This window comes from Homo sapiens, chromosome 11 (genome assembly GCF_000001405.40).
Source record: "Homo sapiens chromosome 11, GRCh38.p14 Primary Assembly".
Lineage (NCBI taxonomy): Eukaryota > Metazoa > Chordata > Mammalia > Primates > Hominidae > Homo > Homo sapiens.
The window spans coordinates 41345838-41371444 of NC_000011.10; the positions used below are offsets into that span (position 1 = coordinate 41345838).

The 25607-nt window shown below is 36.3% G+C and overlaps 1 protein-coding gene across 17 annotated transcripts in view; it reads right to left on the reverse strand.

The window, feature by feature from the left end:
- LRRC4C (leucine rich repeat containing 4C) overlaps nucleotides 1–25607 on the reverse strand; it is a 1345454-nt gene that overhangs the window by 1231639 nt on the left and 88208 nt on the right. The window contains exon 2 of one of the 17 annotated variants that reach the window (XM_047427350.1): nucleotides 427–509. The exons of the other annotated variants lie outside the window; for them this stretch is intronic. The gene's annotated coding sequence lies outside the window, so the exon portion shown is untranslated. The remainder of the gene's footprint in view (nucleotides 1–426; nucleotides 510–25607) is intronic. 17 annotated transcript variants of the gene reach the window in all.

The following is a 25607-nucleotide window of genomic DNA, read 5'->3' on the forward strand; positions in this document are numbered from 1 at the left end:
TTCTATAATACCTAGATGTTTCAGAAAGGTATTTGTAAAATAAACCATATCAAATACATGTTTAAATAAAAACATTGAATTAAAAAATGAAGAGTGAGCTTAAGGTCACTCTGATGGCCATAGCCTATACATATGTTTTTCCAGAATTTGTAGGGGTGACAAACTAAGTATTCTAAGGAACACATGGATAGAAGGAGGATTCTGGGTGTTTCTATACATATTCATTACACCCTCTAATTTATTACCATGTTTACCACCAAAATTTCAGAACAAATTATATTCTATATCAGGCCCCAAGGGAGTTTTCATCTTCCTGGCTTGGCCAAGCACCAAAACAAAGCACATTAAAGAGAGGAATCGCAGTGTCAGTCGTTAATATTTAAAGTGATGTAGAAGGTGGTGCTCCTTAAAATGCAAACTGCTCACCCTTTGGATGAAAAATTAAATCCATTCTACTCATTCTGCACTTGTAATCAGACACCCTGTGAAGACAGCAGACACATTTCTCCCTGAAGAAGCAATAAATAAACAAACATAAAAAAATTATCTAACTATGAATTCTCACTAAGATGATTCCTCCTACCATTCACTCCTCCAGCAGAAAAATAACAAAATAGACTTCTACCTGGTCCCATTTTCTGTTTTAACTTCAGTGAGATTAGATTGGGATACATTTAAAAAATGATGATATCCTAAAATGGGTTTTCCTTGAAAAATTATCAAACCAATACTATTGTAAACATGTTTTTCAGAGTACTAATTGTATAAGATATCCTAGAAGAAAAACATAATTCTGTAGTCAAAAAGTCTGCAAAATACTGCAAATGCACTCCCCTATTAGAATTTCACAAGGCATCTTAGCTTTCAAAAGGTTCCAAAAAGTTCCGCATTATTGAGTGCTACTCAATTTTGTTTAACATAGCATTCCAAACTTGGCTGGATGTGGTACTCTTATTCATCTTATACTGATTGACAACTAAAGTACCAACTGGGACACCAAATTAAAAACAAATTAAAAAGGGGCCATGTGGGCTAAAAGTTCACAGTAAATTATTAATCAATTGCTCTCAAGTTCAAAATCCAGAATTTATAGTAAATGCCAGGCAATATGTCATGGTGCATGCAAATATTTAAAATGCAGATGATTCTATTCTTGCCTTGAGGATTATACAATTCATATAGCACAGGAAAACTAAAAGAGGTTTGATTTTAATTAATTTGAAATGTATACATGCCCATTACTCAAAGGAAAGAAACCATATGTATCTACAAGGAAAGTTTATTTACACCTTACCTTCCACACGTTATGGTAGTACACATGGCATTGCAGGGTCCATCAGAGGAAACTCTCTGGCTGAAACGCTTGAGTTATAGCACAGGAGGATCTATATTCACCCTTTCATAATGAATAGATTTTTAAAATTGCATTTTCTCTGCCTTAATACCCTGCCTCTAGTATACTTACTGAACTATAGTGTTCATTTGCTAAGTTAATACAGGCATTTAAGGAGAGCTTTAGTTTTCAAGAGCTAAGGCAGGGGAGTGAATGGATGTCACACTCAGTGCACACACAGTGGTCTTATGGCATCCCTGACTCTCTAGGGTACAAATACCACTTGATCATGTGCTTCAAAAAGAAAGAAGGCTGCAGATGTTAAATTTTCAAATTTCAAGGGTGAATTGCTTTTTTTAAAATACAAAATTTCAGAGAACTTTGTAGATATCATTTCTTCATGGATGGAATCGATTTCTATCAATATACAAAGGTAGTAAGTACAGAAAGTAAATATTATTTGATTGTACAAATGAGATAAAAATATTTTTAAAATGCAGAGTTACATAAAGATGTTGATAAAAATGACCTTTAAAACGTGTTGCATAAAGTTGCCCCAGGCAGCCAATGTGGTGAGCAGTGAGAGTTTATCTCCTATCCACATTTCAGAGACAGTCTCTCAGCTTTATAATATTTGCAATATCTTGGAATCACATAAGATTGCATAGGTAACTTAAAAAAGGTTCTGATTACGCTAAAATGCTTCCGAACCACCGGTACTAATTATTTACAGATGATGAAAATGAAGCCAAGGAAAATGAAGTGTTCTTCCCAAGGACATAAGAGTAGCTTATGGGATTGTAGGGTGATTTGGTCATGGCATCTATCATTCTGTTGATCATTGTCTGACTATATAAACCTTCATCATTTACATAAGTATCTACAAAATCTTCCCTAATGACAGAACGAAAACTGTAACTCTTATCTCTCTTGAATTTCAAGCCTATGAGTTGTTTTCTACTACTTCCTACCTAAGCTATTGAGAGATTTCTCAGCAGTGACAAAGGAATTCTGTAAGGCATTAGTGAAGGCACACCGTTTTCTCTTACTGCTTCTAGGTAAATGTCTATTGTGCCATCACAATGTGTTTATAAAATAACTCCATTCCATAAAACATAGCCAAAACTCAATTCATGGTGGTCAGAAGTCAAAAACTGAAATAAAAAGTGTTGCTGTCTTCCTGGAATTCAGAAAGGTAAGGAGCTCTGCATTTAAAAAATAATAAAATAAAAACACAAAAAATAGAGTTGTGCTGTCTACCAGAGATTTAATATAATCCTGCTTTTTCAACTAATTCCATGTAGGAAAAGCAAAGACCTTTGAAAATTAACATGACATGAATTGAATAAGAAAGAAAGAGTGTTGCCCTCGGGCGTGAAGCCAAGATGGCCGACTAGATACAGCCAGGAAGAGCGTCTCCCAGCAGAAGACCAGACTATGGAGAAGACTGTTACACCCTGAACATATTCTCCTAAAGAAGTCATTGAGAATGGATGGAGGGAGGAGGCAGAGCCTGAGCTAAAAGGGAAGAAAGCTGGAAACTCTGCACAAAGTTGCCAAGCACTAGGAATCCTTTCTGGCCCTGAGTGGCTCCTGGGGAAGGGGTCAACGAAATAGGCATGGAGTGGCCCACTATTACCACAGACCTCCAAAATTCTAGCTGCAGGAGACTGGACAACCCCCACATACATCTGAGCTAGCAGGGAGAACTTCCCAGATAGTTAGCAGAGACAGAACTCCAGTCTGCGTGGAGCCCAGAGGCTTTGACACAGGAACAGCTGCAGTGGAGCACAGCCACGGGTGCCCATACCCCAAAGATTGTCATATTCTTCTAGTTGGCTTTAGACTTTCTTGGCTGCTGGACCTGGACAGAGTAGGGCTGTCTTTCCTGTAGGATGGGGTCAGTCTGATCTGAGTACTATCCCATCTGCCAGCTTTTCCCAGCATCCCTGCCTGGTCACACATTCTCATTCTTGTAGTGTGACCTTGACTACCCAGCCAAGGTGCTTGCCAGTGGCCACCATTGGCAGACCTTATCTAATAGCCAGAGAACTTTTAAAGGCATTCTTTTTCCACTGTAACCCCAACCTCAGCCTTCCCCTGCCAGCACACACTTGCCTGCAACTTTCCCCAGCCACTTTGCTGGTGCACATGCATGGAAGACATGCTGCAACCACACTGAGGCACTTTTGCCATCACCAACATTTGGAATGTTGGTGCCAGTGGACTGGGAACACCTCAACCCCTCCAGTGCAGCATATGCTTAAACTTAAGGGGCTGGAGGAAAAAAACAAAACAAAACAAAACAAAAAAACAACAACAAAAAACATGGGCCTGGTTTCAGCCCCTCAGGGTTCGAGCACACAGCCCAGGAATGCTGAGCTGAGCCTTGGTTCCCTGAAATCATCCAGAAATGGAGCTAATTGACTAAACTCAACTTATACCACAGTCAAACCATCAAGACCATCAAAGCATACACAAGCAAAAAGCCCCAACTAAAGGACAGCAACTTCACACATTAAAGGAATATCAGCCTACACAGATGAGAAAGAACCAGTGTAAGAACTCCGGCAACTCTAAATGCCACAGTGTCTTCTTACCTCCAAACAGCCACACTAGGTCCCCAGCAATGATTCTTTTTTTTCTTTGAAATATTTAAAAGTATTTATTAATTCTTATAAGAACAATAATAGATCCATTATATGTTAACATATGATTTAAAAATAAAACATAATTAATTCTTCCAAAACAGAAACAATTCTGGTGGCATTGCTTTACATTTTTGCAAATCTCCTCAGTGTCTGGCTTAATAAAAGACAGCCAGATCCTCATATCTGCTTCTGTAGTCAGTCTCTTGCAGTATCACATGTCATAAGTCAGATAGCCTCTGGAAAACTCCACCGTACACTTGTGAAAGAATGAAAGTTAAAAAGGCAAATGACATCTTGGTATTATTATGAAATAGTTTTGACCTCAGTGACTACCTGTATAGATCTGAGGTCCCCAGAACACACTTTGAGAACCACTGACCTATAAGATCTTTTTGAAAAAATGTTTTCGTCAGGTGCAGTGGCTCACGCCTGTAATCCCAGCACTTTGGGAGGCCGAGGTGGGCGGATCATGAGGTCAGGAGATCGAGACCATCCTGGCCAACTGGGTGAAACCCTGTCTCCACTAAAAACACAAAAAATTAGCCGGGCGTTGTGGCGGGCGCCTGTAGTCCCAGCTACTCGGGAGGCTGAGGCAGGAGAATGGTGTGAACCTGGGAGGCGGAGCTTGCAGTGAGTCAAGATTGCGCCACTGCACTCCAGCCTGGGCGACAGAGCAAGACTCCATCTCAAAAAAAAAAAAAAAAAAGAAAGAAAGAAAAAATGTTTTCAATCTGTGCATATAGACCATGATAAAAATGAGATGAAATATTAACCTCCATCACATGGGCATCTCAGCAATGATTCTTAACCAGACTGAAATGGTTGAAATGACAGACATATAATTCAGAATCTGAATGGCAATGAAGATCATCAAGATTCAGGGAAAAGTTGAAATCAATCCAAGGAATCTAAGGAATCCCATAAAGTCATAGAACATCAGAAGACAAAATGACCATTTTAAGAGAGAACCAAACTAATCTTCTAGAGCTATCAAACACACTACAGGAATTTCATAACACAATTGGAAGTATTAACAGCAGAATAGACCAAGCTGAGCAAAGAAACTCAGATCTGGAAGACTGGTTCTTTGAATCTTTGAATCAACTCAGTCACACAAAAATATAGAGGCTGGGTGTGGTGGCTCATGCCTATAATCCCAGCAGTTTGGGAAGCTGAGGAGGGTGGATTGCTTGAACTCAGGAGTTTGAGATCAGCCTGGGCAACAGGACAAGACCTCGTGTCTTTTAAAAATTTTTTAAAAATTAGCCAAGCACCATGGTGTGTGCCTTTAATCTCAGTTACTCAGCAGGCTGGGGTGGGAGGATTGCTTGAGTCTGAGAGATTGAGTCTTCAGTGAGCTATGTATGATCATGCCACTGCACTCCAGCCTGGGTGAGTGAGACACACACACACATACACACACACACACATACACACACACACACACACATACATTTTCCACATAGACAAAAAAAGAGTTTTTTAAAAATGGGGAAAAAAGCCTCTGGGAAATAGGGAATTATATAAAGACCAAACCTATCACTCATTGGCATCCCAGAAAGGGAAGCAGATGAAGTAGACCACTTAGAAAACATATTGAAGGATATTGTATCCAAAAATTTCCCCATCCTCACTAAAGAGGTTGCCATGAAAATTCAGGAAACTCAAAGAACCCCTGTGTGGTAGTATGCAAGACAGCCATCCCCAAAACACATAGTCATCAGATTCTCCAAGATGAACACATAAGAAAAAATACTGAAGGCAGCTAGAGAAAAGGGGCAGGTCACAAACAAAGGGAACCCCATCAGGCTAACAGCAGAACTTTCAGCAGACACTTTAAAAGCCAAAAGAGATTGGGGGCCTATATTCAGCAACATGCATTAATGCATTAAAAATACATTTAAAATGCATTAAAAATAAATTTTAAAAAACACAAGGATTGTATACCTATCCAAACTAAGCTTGATAAGCAAAGGTGAAATAAAATATTTTTCAGACTTTCACTAAGAGAGTTTGTTACCATCAGACCTGCCATACAAGAGGTCCTTAAGGGAATGCTAAACATGGAAATGAAAGACCATTACTTGACACCACAATAAATACACTTCGGTACATAGATGACTGACACTAAAAAGCAACTGTACAATCAAGTCTACAAAATAAGCAGCTAACAACACAATGATGTGATAAAATCCTCAGATACCCACAATAACCTTAAATGTAAGTGGCACTTAAAAGGCATAGAGTGACAAGTTGGATAAAGAAGCAAGATGTAACGACATGCTATCTTCAGGAGACCCATCTCACATTCACTGACACCCAGAAGCTCAAAATAAAGGAGAAAGATCCATCAAACAAATTGAACACAAAAAAGAGCAGGCATTGCTATTCTTATTTTAGACAAAATAGACCAAAAATTTTAAACCAACAGTTATCAAAAAGGACAAGGAAGAACATTGCATAATGATAAAGGGTTCAATTCAACAAGAAGACCTAACTATCCTAAATATTTATGTACCCAACACTGGAGTACCCAAATTTATAATATAGGTTGTTAGAAACCTAACAGGAGACACAGATAACCACAGAATAACAGTGGGAGACTTCAACACCCCACTGAGAGTGTTTGACAGATCATCAATGGAAAGACTAACAAAGACATTTGGGACTTAAATCTGACCCTTGACCAAATGGACCTAACAGACATCTACATATACAGAACAGTCAACTGAACAACAGAATAGACAGTCTTCTAATCTTCCCATGGCATATACTCTAAGATCAAACACACTCAGCCATAAAGTAATTCTCAAAAAGTTAAAAAAATAAAATAAAATTATACCAATCATACTCTTGGAAGACAGCACAATAACAATAGAAATCAATATCAAGAGGATCTTTCAAAACCATAGAATTACATGGAAAGTACACAATCTACTCCTGAATGACTTTTGAGTAAATAATGAAATTAAGTCAGAGATAATAAAAAATTATTAAACTAATGAAAATAAAAATACAACACACCAGAATCTCTGGGACATAGACAAACCAGTGTTAAGAGGAAAGTTTATAGTGCTAAACTCCTTCATCAAAAACTTAGAAAGATCTCAAATTAACAACCTAACATTACACCTCAAAGAACGAGAAAAACAAGAGCACATCAACCCCAATGCTAGCAGACTTTTTCAGCAGAAATACTCAAAATCAGAGCTGAACTGAAGAAAATCAAGACATGAAAATCCATACTAAAGATCAATAAAACCAAAAGTTGGTACTTTGAAAGAATAAATAAGATGGATAGGCTGTTAAATAGACTAATAAGAAAAGAGAGAAGAGCCAAATAAACACAATCAGAAATGACAAAATTACATTACCATCGACCCCAGAAAAACAAAAAATCCTGAGATTATTATGAACACCACTGTGCACACAAACTAGAAAACCTAAAAGAAATGAATAAATTCCTGGAAACATACAAACTCCCAAAATTGAACCAGGAAGAAATTAATATCTGAACAGACCAATAATGAGTTCTGTAAATGAATCAGTAATTAAAAAATAACATACCAATAAGAAAAATTCCTGGATCAGATGGATTCATAGAAAAATTCTACCAGATGTATAAAGGGGAGTTGGTACCAATACTACTGAAAATATTCCCAAATATCAAGGAAGGGGGACTACTCCCTAACTCATTCTGTGAAGCTAGCTTTGTTCTGATGCCAAAACCTGGAAGTGATAGAATTAAAATGAAAACTTGAAGCCAATATGTCTGATGAACATAGATGCAAAAACCTTCAACAAAATACTAGCAAATGGAATCCAGCAGCACATCAAAAAGCTAATCTACCACAATCAAGTAGGCTTTATTCCTGAGATGCACAGTTGGTTCAACATATGCAAATCCATAAATGTGATTCATTACATAAACAGAACTAAAAACAAAAATCACATGATAATCTCAACAGACACATAACTCTTTCAATAAAATTCAACATCCCTTCATGTTAAAAAACAAAACAACGCAACAATCTAGGAGTCGAAGGAATGTACCACAAAATAATAACAGCCATCTATCTCAAACCCACAGCCAACATCATACTGAACAGGCAAACCTGGAAGCATTCCCCTTGAGATATGAAAAAAGACAAGGATGCCCACTGTCAGCACTCCTATTCAACATTTTACTAGAAGTCCTAGCCAGAGCAATCAGGCAAGAGAAAGAAGTAAAAGGCATCAAGATAGGAGAAGACTAAGTTAAATTCTCTCTCTTTGCAGACGATATAATTCTATACCTAGAAAACCCCATAGTCTCTGGCCAAAGGCTCCTATAACTGATAAACAACTTTAGTAAAGTGTGGGAATACAAAAGTAAGGTATAAAATTCAGTAGCATTATACACCAATAACATCCAAGCTAAGAGCGAAATCAAGAACACAATCACATTCACAATAGCCACAAAAAGAATAAAATACTTAGAAATATAGGTAACTAGGGAAGTGAAATATCTCCACAAGGAGAATTACAAAACACTGCTGAAAGAAATCAGAGATGACACAAACAAATGGAAAAACATTCCATGCTCATGGATAGGAAAAATTGATATTGTTAAAATGGTCAGATGCCCAAAGTAATTGCAGATTCAATGCTATTCCTATAAAATTACAAATTTCATTTTTCATAGAATTAGGAAAAAAAGATATTCTAAAATTCATATTAAATCAGGGGAAAAAAAGACTAAATAGCCAATGTAATCCTAAGCAAAAAGAACAAAGCTGGAGGAATCACACTACCCAACTTGAAATTATACTACAGCATGATGTTGTTATAAAAATAGACACATAGACCAATGTAACAGGTTAGACAACCCAGAAATAAAACTGCATTTCTACCACCATCTAATCTTCAACAAAGTCAATAATAAGCAATGGGGAAAGGATTCCCTATTCAATAAATAATGGAATAACTGGCTAGCCATATGCAGAAGTTTGAAACTGTACTCATTTCACCATATATAAAAATCAACTCAAGATTGATTAAAGACTTAAACATAAAATGTAAAAATATAAAACCCTAAAAGAAAACCTAGGAAATACCATTCTGGACATAGGCCTTGGGAAAGATTTCACAACAAAGTCTCCAAAAGCAATTGCAACCGAAACAAAAGTTGACAAATGGGACCTAATTAAAGATCTTCAGCTCAGCAAAAGAAACTATCAACAGAGCAAACAGACAACCTACAGAATAGGAGAAAATATGTGCTAACTCTGCATGTGACAAGGATCTATCCAGAATGTACAAGGAACTCAAACAAATAGCTCCATTTAAAAATGGGCACAGTACATGAACAGACATTTCTCAAAAGAAGGCATACAAGTGACCAAGAACATGAAAAAATGCTCAGCATCCCTAATCATGAGAAAAAAATAACTATCAACTTGGGAACAAAAAGAAGGGGAAAGAAAACAACTACATCTCATCTTTCACAGAGCAATTATGAGCAGAAATATGAGTCTAAATTTTATCCACCAAAATTACTCTGTGAAACAAACCTAAAAAATGTGAGGACATGGATAAGTGTGTCGCTATGCAAAATGCAAAGGTAGTAGTTTCCCACCTATACAATTTAAACATATTTATACTAAAAGTGATTATAATATATGTTAAAAGTGAATAAAGCCACTATTCATGTTGTTAATTCTTCCCAATTTGTATATATATCAAGAGGGCATTCTCAGGGATAGTTAAATATTGTATGGATTGTTTATACTAATGACCTATTTTTGTCCTTCCAAAGCCATGTTGTTGTTAACTCTTTTTTTCTGGTGGATGGTGGTAATTTAAATAAACTAAATATCACATACGGTATTTCTAAATGTTTTCTATTTAATTGAGCTATGTACAGTATCCATTTTTGGGGATAAAATGGTTAAATATTGACAATTTCATACAATTCAACCTGTAGATAATTCATGTTTTTTTAAAGAATCATAGTAGAATACATTCCTAAAGCTCTTAAACTAGCAAACTTCTACTAAGGAGAATGTGAAAATATATTCTAATTAATATGTCAAACCAAATTTGAAGATGAACACTACCAACATTCAAGTATTTACATAGCTAGAAATATTATCAAAACCAAGCTGGCTTCCATATTTAAAAAAGAGGATGATAATAAGTTTTCATTAGTGGCTATGAGTTTATAGCGTTCACCTTATTTTGCAAAACTAGAACTTTGTTTCTGAAAATATAAACAGAAAATTAATAGCTCCCAACAGTATGTGATATATTCAATCATCTTTGTTTTTAGCTAGTCATTTCAGTTAGCTATTGCATACTTCTCCTCTTCAAGTAATTAAGCTAGACCCACCCATTCCCAAAACATTTATCAAAAAATGCATACAGCAAGTTAAACATTATGAATGATGTTATAGGTACCAGATGTGATCTCAAACAATTTGCCCTCTTGATTTTATATCTACTGGTAGATCACACTGTGTCTTTGTAAAAATTACAAAAAAAGTCTTTTGGGGCAGTTAAATTGCAAAAAGACATACACGCCTTCCTCCAGAATCCAGGCTGACTATAGACCAGGACTAATGACTCATGGGTAAGGGGCCCTAATCACCATCTTACCACAGTGCCATTGTGTAGGGCAGGAGCTGCAGAATTATGTCTCTGTTAGGTGGTTCAGACCACCTGATCTTAAACCTTAGACTCACATACAATACTCTTCTACATTTTGGATCGTGGACTTCTAGTGCCATTTTTGGCATGACTTTAATCCTCCATCCTTCAACTTGACCTCCTAGAGAAGGGGTTAGGAAGTGGGATGTTAGACACTGTGAATTCAGACAGTTCACACTTCTGGACTAGGTGATCTGATATCATTGGTCTAAGCTCTCCTGGTTTTGTCTGAATGTTGCATATTATAATAGTCTATCTGCTACCGATGAACTTTCTACAATTTAGCCAAGCTTACACCCAAAGCATGCCAATTTTTTTACATGTGTTTTTGGAAGTGTTATGCCATTAGAATGATATACTTATTGATGTGATAATACAAAAGAGAAAGCATCTGGCCAACGTTTCCCTCAAATATGTTCTGCTGAAAAGGAGTTCTACAAGAGTGATTCCATAGATTACATGAATGCAAGTTAGCATGTTAATAATCTGTGAGAGATCCTGAATTCAAGTGATTTGTTTACCTTGTTTAACCCAGAAATTAAAAAAAAATACCAACAGCATTTATTTGCACCCTACACACACTTTGGGACTGGAACTGTAGTTTAGGCCAATTTAAAAAGAAAGACAGAAAGAGAAGGAGAGAGAGAGAGAAACTATGCAGTAGCACTACATTAGTCATCATCCCAAGAGTAATAAACTGGCACAAGTTATGGAAATCTCTCTGACCTTAATGCTCTTAATCTAAATTAGGAATGAAAATAATACTTGTCTAATGGTTAATATGTAGATAATTTTTTTAATTTACTGTTATATTTTAGGTAGTAGTGGTAAAGACGAAAATCTAATTTCATGACAATGTGAAACAGGGCACTGTGAACAGCCTATTCTAACAAAAATTAGAAGTAGTATAAGATATTTTATTTGAAAATTGTATTTAAGTAAAGCAATCAATATTTTCATTTTCTTGTCTCAATGTTTCACCTCTGATGTAGGCTCACAGAAGAATTAAGTCTCATAAAAGACTTGATTCTGGGAGGGAAGAAGGACTGGATTTGCGTATTTTCTCTGTGGCCTACTTTCCTAACGTCCTTGTTCTGGTGTTCCTTTTCCATATTGTTGTTGGAATGCAAAATAATTACTAGTGGCTCACAGATAAATCGTGAACATTTTAAATACCTGAGAGTATATCTAATGCATACTAGAAAGCCATAGCTATAATAACAGAACAAAACCATAACTTTATAGTTATTCCAATTTGGGATAAGACTATATTTTTATAAAGAGAGAGAATGGGAAGACTCAACAGTATCAAGATGTTAGCTCTTCCCAACTTGATCTACAGATTTAATGCAATCTTAAAGCACTAGAGAGTTATTTTGTGGATGTTGACAAACTGATTCTAAAGTTAATATAGAGGGGCAAAAGACCCAGAATACTCAACACAATATTGAAGAAGAAAAAAGTTAGAGGACCAACCCTACACAACTTCAAGATTGACTATAAAGCTACAGTAATCAAGATAGTGTGATACTGGTAAAAGAATAGACAAACAAATCAAGAAATAGAATAGAGAGCTCAGAAGTATACCCACCTAAATATAGTTAACTGGTGTTGACAAAGAAGCAAAGGCATACCAAAGGAGAAAATACAGCTTTTTGAAATGATGCTCAAACAATACAGCATTCACATGTTGAAAAAAATAAATCTATACACAGAATCTTAGACTCTTTGCAAAAACTAATCACAATGGATCACAAACCTCAATGTAAGCCACAAAACTTCAGAACTCCTAGAAGATAACAGAGAAGAAAATATATATGACCTTGGGTTTGATGATGAATATTTAGATATGACACTACAGTCATGATCCATGAAACAAATAATTGGTATATTAGACTTCATTAAAATTAAAAACTTCTTCTCATGAAAGACAATATCAAGAGAAGGAGAAGATAAGCCAGAAACTGGGAGAAAGTATTTGCAAAAGACACATTTAACAAAGGATTATTATCCAAAATTTCAAAGAACTCAACAAGAAAACAACTCAATTAAAAAATGAGCCAAAGGCCTTAACAGACAGCTCACTGAAGCAGATTTACATATGAAAAATAAGTATATGACTAGATGACATCATATGCCATCAGAGAAATGCAAATTAAAACAACGATGAGATATAACTGCTCACTTATTAGAATGGCCCAAATCTGGAACACTGACAACATCAAATGCTGGTGAGGATATGGAGCAACAGGAACTCTCATTAATTGATGGTGGAAGTACAACCATTTTGGAAGACAATTTGGTGGATTCTGACAAAACCAAACATTCTCTTACCATATGATCCAACCATCATGCTCCTTGCTATTTGTGCACAGAAGTTAAAAATATATATTCACACAAAGATCTGCATATGAATGTTATTATAAACTTTATTTATAATTGTCAAAATTTGGAAGCAACCAAAATGTTTTTCAGTAGGTGAACAGATAAACTGAGGTACATTCAGACAATGGAATTCAGTTCTAAAAAGAAATTAGTTATCAAAGACATGGAAGAAACTTAAATGCATATTACTAAGTGAAAAAAGACTAAATACTGGATTCCAACTACATGACATTCTGAAAAAGAAAAAAAAAACTATAGGAACAATTAAAAAAATAAATTGTTGCCAGGAATTAGAGAGAGGAAGGGATGTATTGGCAGAGCACAGAGAGTCTTCAGAGTGGTGAAAAATATTGTGTATGAAATTATAATGGTGGATACATGTCATTATATATTTGCCCAAACCAGTAAAATGTACAATAGCAAGAGTGAACTCTAATATAAACTATGCGCTTTAGGTGATAATGATGTTTCAATGTAGGATAATCAACTGTAACAAATGTACTACTCGAGGGGGATGTGGATATTGAGGGAGGCTACATAAATATGAGGACAGGGGGTACATGGGACATCTCTGTACCTTCCTCTCAATTTTTCTGTCAGCCTAAAAGTGCTTTAAAAATAAGTGTTTGTTTTTTTTGTTTTTGTTTTTGAAAGGAAGGACACAGAGTCGAATTTTATAAAAGAATAAAAATAGATACCGGTGAAACATAGGCATGCAAAAATTGTAATGCAAATGAGGAAACAGGAAATATTACATTATTGTACTTTAACTGTTATGACAATGCATAAAGCAAGCTATTATTATATCTATTTCAGATATTTAAAAAATAAATCATAGAGAAGGAAAATAAAGTGCCTGAGGTTTTCCAGTAACTGGCTTAGATGAAATTCAAACTCAGGCTTTGCAATTCCATAGCCTGCGTGCTTAACCACTTAACATGATGCCTCATCACTTTGAGAAGCTTTCATCTATATGTTTTCTGAAATATTTTTAAAAGAATAAAATTGGCCAGGCACGGTGACTCATGCCTGTAACCCCAGCACTTTGGGAGGACAAAGCAGGCAGATCATCCGCAGTCAGGAGTTTGAGCCCGGCCTGACCAACATGGTGAAACCCCGTCTCTACTAAAAATACAAAAATTAGCTGGGCACAGTGGTGCACACTTGTAATCCCACTTACTCAGGAGGCTGAGGCAGGAGAATCATTTGAACCTGGGAGGCGGAGGTGGCAGTGAGCGGAGATCGCGCCACTGCACTCCAGCCTGGATGACAAAGGGGGACCCTGTCTCAAAACAAACAAACAAACAAACAAACAGAATAAAATCAAGTTTTATCTAGGCATCTCCTCTCCATCCCGGACACCTCAAAGCTAGTTAGCATGGTGTACACTGAGCTCTTCACTTTCCAACTTCCCATAATACTACTGAACTTTAATCACTATACCTACATCTATGATTTATCTATCCATAGCCCAAGAATTTACAAGGGTCTTTGAAAAAAATGGAAATGAGATACACTCAAACTCTAATTTCATGAGTTTTACAATATTGTGAAGGAAACATATCAATATTTAAAAATCCTACAAACATCCAATGACAAACTGAAATATGAGCTACAATGGAATAGCATGGTTTTAAGAGAATATAGATTGGGGGCCAGGATGAAGGAGGCTATAAAAGAGTTCCTTGAAGAAGTTATGCTTAAGTCGAGATTGGATGAATGGAAGGAGTTAAATAAATGATAAATGAGCAGGGTAGAATATTCCCCCAGAGAAAACAGCATGTGCAAAGAACACCTAATTGGAAAAAGCAAAAGGAATTTAAACAAAAGAAATAAGGCCCATATTGTTGAAGCATAGAAAGGGAGTTAAAGGGTGGCTCATGAGGAGACCAGAGTAGAAATAACTCATGTGGGGGCTTTTTTGAAGGCTTTTGTTTTTTGATTTATTAGTTTTCTACTCCACTTGTTCAAATTTTATTTACTCATGATGATAACTCCCTAAAAATAAAAATTAAAGTATTTACTCACATCCTTCATGGAGATCACCGTAATGCTAGGCATCATGGCATTAATAAGTTGATACTACAATCAATCATATTACTACACTACACAATATAAATGATTTGAGTCTAAATCAAAAGAGTCTGTGTTACAATTTAGAAACTTTAATTACCAGGCAGTTTTCCAGAAAATACAGCTCTGGCTTTAAAACAGGAAGACAGCATTGTCAGTTATCACATACACCAGGCATGAGTGGATATTCATTTCACGAATACGATGATGTCACAAGAGCATAATGTTTCTCCAGGTCACTGAATCGTGTTTGGAAAAGAAACACTTTGGCTTTACCTTGTCTATTGTTGCCATTTTCACTAATATTACAATAGAAAAATATGTCAAATCCAGACTATAACCCATTCCATCAACTTCATTTTCTTGTAGGAGTTACAGAAAATATATATTTTCGGTACTCTCTTTTCTGTGCCTGCATAAGCTTCTATAGTTAGTCTTGATTTCAACCACACTACCAGAAGTAATGGAAAGTATGAATGTTCACACAATTTGCCCATGCACATTACTGTCTTGAAGTTGAGCATCTAACATAACATTTCCTTCTAAGCATTCTATTTATTCAGATAGTTCTAGTCACTAATTTTCTGTAACAGAAAATTACAATTCTACAATGATCCAATTTATATTTATGTGTGGACTACATAATTGCACAGGCAAAAATTGTACATAAATATCAATGCATAGCTAAAATATATGGTTAATAGGATTTAAATTATATCTCTGAATTCTACTTTGAATTCTTGAGTCTAGCTAAAGTTACTGACTAAACACATTTTTTAGTGTCATTAGGAAAAATGGTATTGCTGTAGTGACTCTTAAATGTAGTTCCAAGGGCATAATTTTATTTTAATGCCAACTATTATATAATCCCTTTGTTCTGGTCTATATCCAATCTGAATTCCTGGAGAGGAGATAATATAATTGTAATCTGAAAAAAATCATGTGTAAAATAGCTTTCATTGACAATTCATTCAGACAAATAAATAATATTAATAATTGCTACTATTCATGGCATAATAAGATACACACATATACATATACAAACTTGTCTTTTATTTCTAACAGCATTAGTTTTCAAAGAAAGTTTGGAGATGCAGTTTAATCTAAAGTGAAGCTTAACTTTTGTTTAAAATGCTCAAGATATGGACAAAAAGATTCCTCACTCATATCAGAGGACAGATCTCAATGGGGAAGGTCCAGGAGGCAGTCTATTACTTGCAAATTCAAGATCTCACAACCCTTTCATTACTGGTCTTCCCCACATCTTGCTGAAAAATCTCTTTTCTTGGGGGACAACAGCATTTTCTCAATCTTTGTGCTAAAAGAAAAAAACATTTTTTCAGTGGGGGATGGGGCTTGTGGAGGTTAATAAAAGGAAAAAGGAAAAGGAAATAAGGAAATAAAGGTAAAAAGGGCAAAAGACAATACTAAGCATATAAATAGCTTCAGCACCATGGATTTTGATGGAGAAATGGAGTACCTGAAAGTCTCTCTCTTTTTGATGATACCTAACAAAGACCCTTGCCCACCTATCCTCAGGGTTAATCAGTGTTGCAGAATCATTCAGAATCACTAAGGGGGTCCAGGGAGTTCCTACTTAAACTTCTTTATGAGTGATATATTAGTTTTCTGTTACCTCTGTAACAAATTACCAAAAATGTGTCTTAAATTCAAAGTTCTTCTTTTACAGTCTAGAGGTCAGCAGTCTAAAAGCAGTTTCACTGTGCTAAAGTCAAATTGTTAACAGGTCAGGTTCTCATGGAAGGCTCTAAGGAAAAGTCAGTGTCCTTGTTTTATCCAGCTTCTAGAGCTGCATTCCTAAACTTTCTTTTTTTTGGCTCATAACCCCTTCCTTCATCTTCACAGCCAGCAGTATAAAATCTTTTCTGTCTGACTCTGCTTCCTTCTGCTTCCATCTGCTTCTGTCACATGGCCTTCTTTTCTGCAGTATAATCTCCTCATCTCAAAATCACATCTGCAAATTCTCTTTTACCATGTAAGGTAACATTCATAGGTTCAAGGGGTTAAGAGCCAGATATCTATGGGAGCCATTATTCATGCTACCCCAGGTGAGGAAGTGGATGTCTTCCTTACATATCTCTGAGTCCTGTCCATCATGATGTCACATCTCTGCATGGTAGCCAACTTGACAGTAAAACAAAAGGATCTCCTTTGTTTCTCTGGCTGGCTCCTGCCATTTCTCTTTTCTCTAAGATAATATTGGGCATTTCTCCCTCTCATTGCCTCAGAGGGGCTGGGTTTACCCTGCCCACCAAGCTGAGTCTTGAGTCATCCACCTGAGTCTTGAGTCATCCACAACAAGTACAGAAAAACATAGGTTACTCTTCAGAATATTTACCAAGTTACTGAGAGCAAAACATCCATTCTGAAATTTGCGGATATATAAACAGCCCCACTGTAAGATGTCTTAAAGGAATCTGGTGCCAAATGTTTTCTGTATCTGTATATCGCTAATCTTCAATTCCATCCTAAATTACTTTTGATTCTGAATACCCCTGTTGAATCAATTTACCTTCTCAGGACTAATGACCTTAAGTCCCTGGCTATTGTTTAGTAGCATAAATTAAATCAAGTAGATGATTTACTGTTATAGGAATTTCTCTATCAGCTCCCGTCAGACTATGCTTCCCTTCAAAAACATTTTCAACTCACTAGACAGATCATGAAAAAGAAAAAGAAGAATAAAGTAAATTAGATATTTTTTGGCATTCCTTGATTGATGTTAATTGATGAGTAATTTCTCAAGGTTATGGTTTTGTTTACAACTTTCTTTCCAAGTCCCATTCACCCCCGCCAACAGCAAAACTATTTTACTTTGGCTGTACAGGTGCTATCTATTACAGAATGGATTGCCTGCTTTCTGACTAACAGAAGTTTCAGTTAAATTGTAGTCACTTCAACATTAGTCTCAACATTAGTCTCAATTAATCTCAAAGACAGAAAACAAGCACAACTATTTATAAGGTTCCCACTCAAAACCCCATAAGGAGTTAAATAAAGCATATACAGGTACTTCCACCTTGAAAATAAAAGTTCCAACACACTAGATGCCTTTTAAGAAAGTGATCATTTCTTTCTAGGACTGCGTTTGCACTGCCATAAACCATGACCTTCTAGAATTCTGTCAGGTTGCATGAGAGGTCCGTTACTTTGCAGACAAGGCCACAAATAGAGGGCTACCCCCTGCTCATTATCCAGCAAATAGTAAGCACTCTTCAAATGTAGCTGCTATTCACTAGAATTAAATTTAGTTTAAAATCTTAAGGCAAAATTTTTTAAAGCTGAATTATAACCACTTTTTTTTCTTTTGAGATGGAGTCTTGATCTGCCACCCAGGCTGGAGTGCAATGGTGCGATCTAGGCTCACTCCAACCTCCATCTCCCAGGTTCAAGCGATTCTCCTGCCTCAGCCTCCCGATTAGCTAGGATTATAGGCACGCACCACCACGCCCAGCTAATTTTTATTTTTAGTAGGACGAGGTTTCACCATGTTGGCCAGGCTGGTCTCGAACTCCTGACCTCAGGTGATCCACCTGCCTGGGCCTCCCAAAGTGCGAGGATTACAGGCATGAGCCACTGTGCAGAACACACATAAGAGTATGATTGATCGTCAAATGCAATAAGAAAGTTCAGGTGAAATAAAACTTTATTATATAAGCCAGTTACCAGAGGGAGAAGAGCTCAGAACAAAATTTATTGCTTGTTTTTACTTCGACTTGCTCAAAAAGATAAATTAAATTCTGATTTTAAGAAATCCTTCTGAATAATGTGTCTGAGTCAAAATGAACCTTGTTTTCTTCACCTCAGTTTTTCCCACCTAGACATAAAGAGAAATTGGCTGGTGAAATAAAATCCCCAAATGAAACAAATTCACTGAGTTTCAACCCTTTAACATGGCTGATATCTAAGGCGGAAATATAACTTACTTGGTCCTTCAGAAATTTTCAAAGTTATTTTGTCATTTAAAGCTGAAACACCATGGAGTGTGTGTGTGTGTGTGTGCACGTGATATTTGTATTGACTAGTGCAGGGGTCCCCAGTTACTGAATCATGGACGAGTACCAGTTTGTGGCCTGTTAGGAACTGGGCTGCAAAGCAGGAGCTGAGTATCAGGAGACCAAGCAAAGTTCATCAGTATTTACAGCCATCCCCATTGCTAGCATTACTGCCTGAGCTCTGCCTCCTGTCAAGTTAGTGGAGACATCAGATGCTCATAGGAGTGTGAACCTATTGTAAACTGTGCATGCAAGGGATCTAGGTTGTGTGCTCCTTATGAGAATCTAATGCCTAATGATGTGTCACTGTCTCCCAACACCCCCAGATGGGACCATCTAGTTGCAGGAAAACAATCTCAGGGCTCCCACTAATTCTACATTATGGTCAGTTGCAAATTATTTCATTATATATTACAATGTAATAATAATAGAAATAAAATGCACAATAAAATTATTGCACTTGAATTATCTCAACAACATCCCCACCCCTAGTCCATGGAAAACTTGTCTTCCATGAAACTGAGCCCTGGTGCCAAAAAGCTTGGGGACCACTAGACTAGTGTGTTACTTCCTTGTTCTTAATAAATATGAAATAGCATTTTATAAGTCCTTTATATAATCTTGTTCAAAATAGCAGGGATTAATGTCTGATTTTTCATCAGGTGCCCTGGTGTTATGCATTCAATTTCTGGAGTTGGAAAAAAAATTGCTACTAAACAATTACATTGTCCTAGACACAGAACAGCTAGCATTCTCACTGTAGCTAACTAGAAGTAGAACAATGTGTGAGTTAATATATAATGTACCTGCATGGTGGGATACTTGGTAAATGATAATGTCTTTAGTTGATAAATCTTGGACTCAAGAACAAGGCAACACTAAAGTTGAATTCACACTCTACCATTTATTCATCATGTGACCTAGGGAAATATTTAATTTTTCAGAATTGTTTTTAATGGGAATAAAAATAGTACCTTCCTCAAAGAGTTTGGAGTAGGATTCAGTGAGACAATATATGTATGTTAAATGTGTAGGATAATAATGGCTTGCATAAAATAAGCATTAAATAAACCTTTTTTTTTCTGCCTCTTAAGCATTTGTGCCTTCAAACTAGCTGGTAGAAATATTTGGCTATTTATATACCTGGTAAATTATATAAGCATATATGTGTGCCTGTTTGTATGTGTTTATATATCTAGATAGATAGATAGATAGACAGATAGATAGATAGATAGATAGATAGATAGATAGATAGATAGATAGGTAGATATCCTAATTTAGGCTACCACATCAAATTACTTATTCCTGCCAGTCCACTCTAATCTGTAGATATTTGGTTATCAACTGATATTAATTCTAGACAAAGAAAAAAATAGAAAGATACTCTATTTTGGTAAAGTGGGATAATAATTTAACCAAAAGCAAAGACAACATTTTTTTGATATTTATGTTCTAGTAACAGGGTAATTTGAAACATCTTTAATACAATAATTCTACAGAAAATTTTAAATTTTAAAATATAATTTAATTTCTGCATAATGCATTTTAGTTTTTAAAATAACTCCTTTAAAAAAGTTAAATAGAGATATTATAAGCTGAATAGTGTTTCTCCCATTTAAATTCATATATTGTAGTTGTAAGCCCCAATATCTCAAAGAACATGATTCTATTAGTAGATAAGGTCTTTAAGGAAGTAATTAAGTTAAAATGAGGTCATGAGTGTGGGTCTTAATTCAATATGACTGGTGTCATATAAGAAGAGATTAGGGACAGATATACACAGAGGGAAGACCATGTGAAAACTGGAGGAAGAAATCTATCTACAAGACAAGGAGAAAGGATTGATCTCAGACTTCCAGTCTCCAGAATTGTGAGAAAAGAAATTTTTCTTCTTTAAGCCACCTAGACTCTGGTATTTTGTCAAGGCAGTTCTAGCAAACTAATAAAATGCATTATGCCCATTTTAGGGATGATGTTAATAGAGACCAAAAAATTTGTATGAGTTATTTTACTTGATAATTTGCAAGAGCCGGAAGCAGAATTTGAACCCAGTGTTTCTAATGATAGCCTATGTTCTTTCTATCTCACTGCAGTGCTTTATGACTAATCCAAAGACACAGGGAAGGTGCCTTTATAGGGGTGTTGCATTGAGAGATGAGGCTTTTGCTGGCCAGAAAAGACATCTCTATATAGCTCAGTACATAGTCAATGGACTGACTTTTGATAATAAAATGAATCATGACTTTACATCTCCATTCCTATAACATGCCTCTTGTCTTTATAGTGAGGTGTGATATTGGGGTATCCAAACCTGGATGGAAATTCATATTTCCTGGGACATGTTTAAAACACAGTAATCTCACGGCCTTCTTCTAACACCTACTATGTTAGAATCTTGGGCAAGGCAGATGACTGAGTAAGCTCTATCTTTAATGGGGGTTCCCAAAAGATTCTGACACCGACCATCAAACAACACTTGGGGATACCAGCTACACATAGTGAAAGGACTATGAGTTTTGAACCAGATGCACATAAACTCAAATTTTAGTTCGGAATCATACTTTTCTTAATAATTTTGAGCTTCAGATTTTTCACACGTAAAATTGGAGACAATAGCTACTGTGGTCAAATGTATATGTATGTGTATGTTTGTATCTGTATGTCTGTACTGTATATACATACCCCTTCTTCATACGGTTTTCTTTTAGACACTCGGTATGGGCTCCCTAGAAATCTGACTGAAGCATGCATTCTCAGCAACTTGGCTTCCATTTGGTCCCTGAACCTTGGCAATACTAGCCACAAAGAGCATCCCAAGGCCTCCCTGCCATATGGATTCCCAGTTACCCAGGCTATTAGGTTCACATTTGCCTTAATGATTCATAATCCCTTTTTAAAAAGGTTATCAGCCTAGAAAAAAATAATCCATTGAAATCCCAGTAGGACATTCAGAGTCTTACCCAAACCAGGTTTTTGGTCCAAGAGCAATTTTTTTGCCTTAGATTGTAGCCAAAATGTACCAAGTCATTTTACAAAGTGCTTGGGAAATTACTTTCAATGTGATAAGCCAAAATCTCATATTGAGTTAGCATTTCATCTATTTCTGCTATATATTTATCAGAGTACTCAGATTTCAGGCTTTAAATTACAGCAGATATCCAAGCACCAATCATGGCAAATTTCGTTTCCTTTGTTTCAGACAACTGAAAGCCAGAATCAGCTTGACAATCCTACACTCCGATAAATTGCCAACCAAGCAGAATGAGATACACCCATTATTCTTTCTGTCACTCTATCCTGAGCAATCAGTGTCCAATTTGTTTGTCTTTCGCTCTAAGACTTCCCTCTTTCTCAGCTCTTCTTTGTGCCATGTTTCTCATTCCCACAAGACTTGAATAGAACACCTGTTCGGAGAAAAATCCCATTAGCCAGGACATCCAACATCTCTTAACAAATCCTTACCAAGAGACAAGAGATCAATAAGCAAAATAACTGAGTCCTTATTAACAAAACTGAATTATGTAATGGTGTTTTCTATGAACTGAATGAGCCCAAGATTCTAAATAGCACCTTTGGAATGATATTTTTAGCTGAGGTTCTGAATGCATTTGTTAAATCATTATCCAGTGTTGGTCTACCAACCATCACACATGGCTCTGCCAGTAAAACATACGGAAAAATCCTCTCTACCTAAGGGCATAGACAGTTCATTCAAAATGTGTTGTATGGAGCAAAAAAGAGGAAAATAAATAAGGAGACTCAGTTACTTTCCTACATGTTGCTACTGGGTCATAAAGCTCTGCAGCAATTTTTTAGGCTTTGGAATTCTTTTCCTATCTATCATTTGTTGCAGGAGGCATACTTTTTTCCCCGCATCCTAAATATCCATTGTAAGAACCCATTTGTAGACAGACATGTTATGGCTGACCTTTCACTTCTAGGTAGCAGAGAAAATTGAGGACTTCTTAAAAGGATATCCTCTTGTTCTCTACTTTCTATTTTTCTCTGTTACCACATGTGTTTTTCTCCAAATAAATCACTTAAATGGAAATCATTCCCTCTTAGAGCATTTTAAGTCATTTTTGTTGAAGAAATATTAGTCAAGCACCAATCATATGTTAAACGAAAAATCTAAGTGCTGGAAAAAAAACACAATGAATAAGCTCTTTATCTAATAGAATTTGTGTGATGGTGAAAGATAAATACATATGCACAAAGATAATTTTAGCATAATGTAGAAGTTTTAGAGTTTTACATAGGATGTTACTGATGTATAGAAGAACATTATGCCCAACTTGGTCATGGAAATGAATAGATATAGAAAGATGTTAAAAGAGTAACAATTGAGATCAGAGTTGATTTAGAAAGATGAATGACACACACTGGGGCCTCTAAGAGGGTGGAGGGTAGAGGGTGAGAGCAGGGAAAGAGGATCAGAAAAAAATAAGAAATGTACACTAGGCTTCATACCTGGGTGATGAAACAATCTGTACAACAAACCCCTATAACACAAGTTTACCTACATAACAAACCTGCACATGTACCCCTGAGCTTAAAATAAAAATTAAAAAAAAAAAAGATTGGGAAATCAGATGAGAGCATGAGCTGAAGATAAGATCAGTGCAGGATTTATGCTAGATCTAAAAGTACATTAGTTTTGAGTATTGTTGAGAACTGTTGTTTGAAGAAGAGACTGGTTGATGATGAGGTTGAAAAGGAGGGCAAAATCTGTCATGGAATGGCAGAATGCTCATATAAGGAACTTAGATTTCATTCTAGTAATGATGAGCACCTGGAGAAAAGCTCAAAGCAGGAGAATGGCATAATTTCATTTGCTCTTTAGATGGTCCACTCTGCGAATAATGTGCAGGATGGATTTGCATGATGACAAGGACTAGGTACAAGGAGACTAATTAAGAGGCCCTTGTAACACTTTAGGTGAGAGCTAATGAGGACTTCAACTCTCAATAGAGATGCAAATATATAGAAACAAAATTTTGAATTATTCAACAAATATTTTACATTTTTTTCAAATTAGATCATTTCTGGATGCAAGTCACTAAAACGGAAAAGCATTTCCTTAGATATATCACATGCATTAACATAGACGTGGCACACTTCTTTATACTCACATTTCAGAAAATCTCATCTGGTATAATTTTGAAGTAAGACTGTCTGGATAACTACACATTATTTCATTATTTATTTTATTTTTTGGGATAGGGTCTCACTCTATCACCCACCAGGCTGAAGTACAGTGGAACAATCACAGCTCACTGCAACCTCTACCACCTGGGTTTAAGTGATCCTCCCACCTCAGCCTACTGAGTATCTGGGACCATAGGTGTGTACCACCATCCCCAGTGATAGGTTTGGCCCTCTGTCCCTACCCAAACCTCATCTTGAATTGTACTCCCATAATTCCCATTTGTTGTGGGAGGGACCCAGTGGGAGATAATTTGAATCATGGGGGCGGCTCCCCCCATACTGCTCTCGTGGTAGTGAATAAGTCCTAAGAGATCTGATGGTTTTGTCAGGGGTGTCCGCTTTTGTTTCTTCCTCATTTTCTCTTGCCGCCACCATGTAAGAAGCGCCTTTCTCCTCCTGCCATGATTCTGAGGTCTCCCCAGCCAATTGGAACTGTAAGTCCAATTAAACTCCTTTTTCTTCCCAGTCTTGGGTATGTCTTTATCAGCAGTGTGAAAATGGACTAATATATCCAGCTAATTTTTAAAATTTTTTGGAGAGACATGGTCCCACTATATTGTCCAGGCTGGTGTCAAAACTCCAGGCTCAAGCAATCCTCCTGCCTCAACTCTCACTGCTAGGATTATAGGCATGAGCTACCACGCTTGGCCCACGTTATTTAAATGAAAACAAACACAAATACATTTTATGTGGGCAACATCCCTTCTCCTTTCTCTTCCTCAGTTAACTTCCAGTAGATAGGAAGGAGAATGTTAGTCTTGCTACTCACTTACTAAAATGTTTGTGCTTGTTCTTGACCCTGCTGGACCTTTCCTTGCTGAGAAAGATGAAATTTTTCCTTACTGGCTAAAAACTAAATAAAATTAAAAATAAAAATAAAACCTATTTCTGCTGAAATATTGTTTCTCAAAAGGTTCTCAGCCGCCTTGATATATTAAATTTAGCTACCACCATCATCTTATTTCAAGCCCTGAAATTGGGGTAGGGATCATATCATATTAACAGTCACTCTTGGGAGCTATGACTGATAAAATGTCCAAAACAATTTATTACATTTGATTCAGCAGCTGTGCTATTTTGGAAACTCCCGCTTAGACCGATAGGAAGACAGATGAAGACACAAATGAAACTTTCCAAAATCTTTTAAGTGCTGGGATTCTGCTTTCACTTATATTAGAAGGCCAGATTCCAATGTCCAAACTTAATAGAAATTCTGGTTTTGATTCCTTTGAAATATTGTGAGTAAATGGTGGG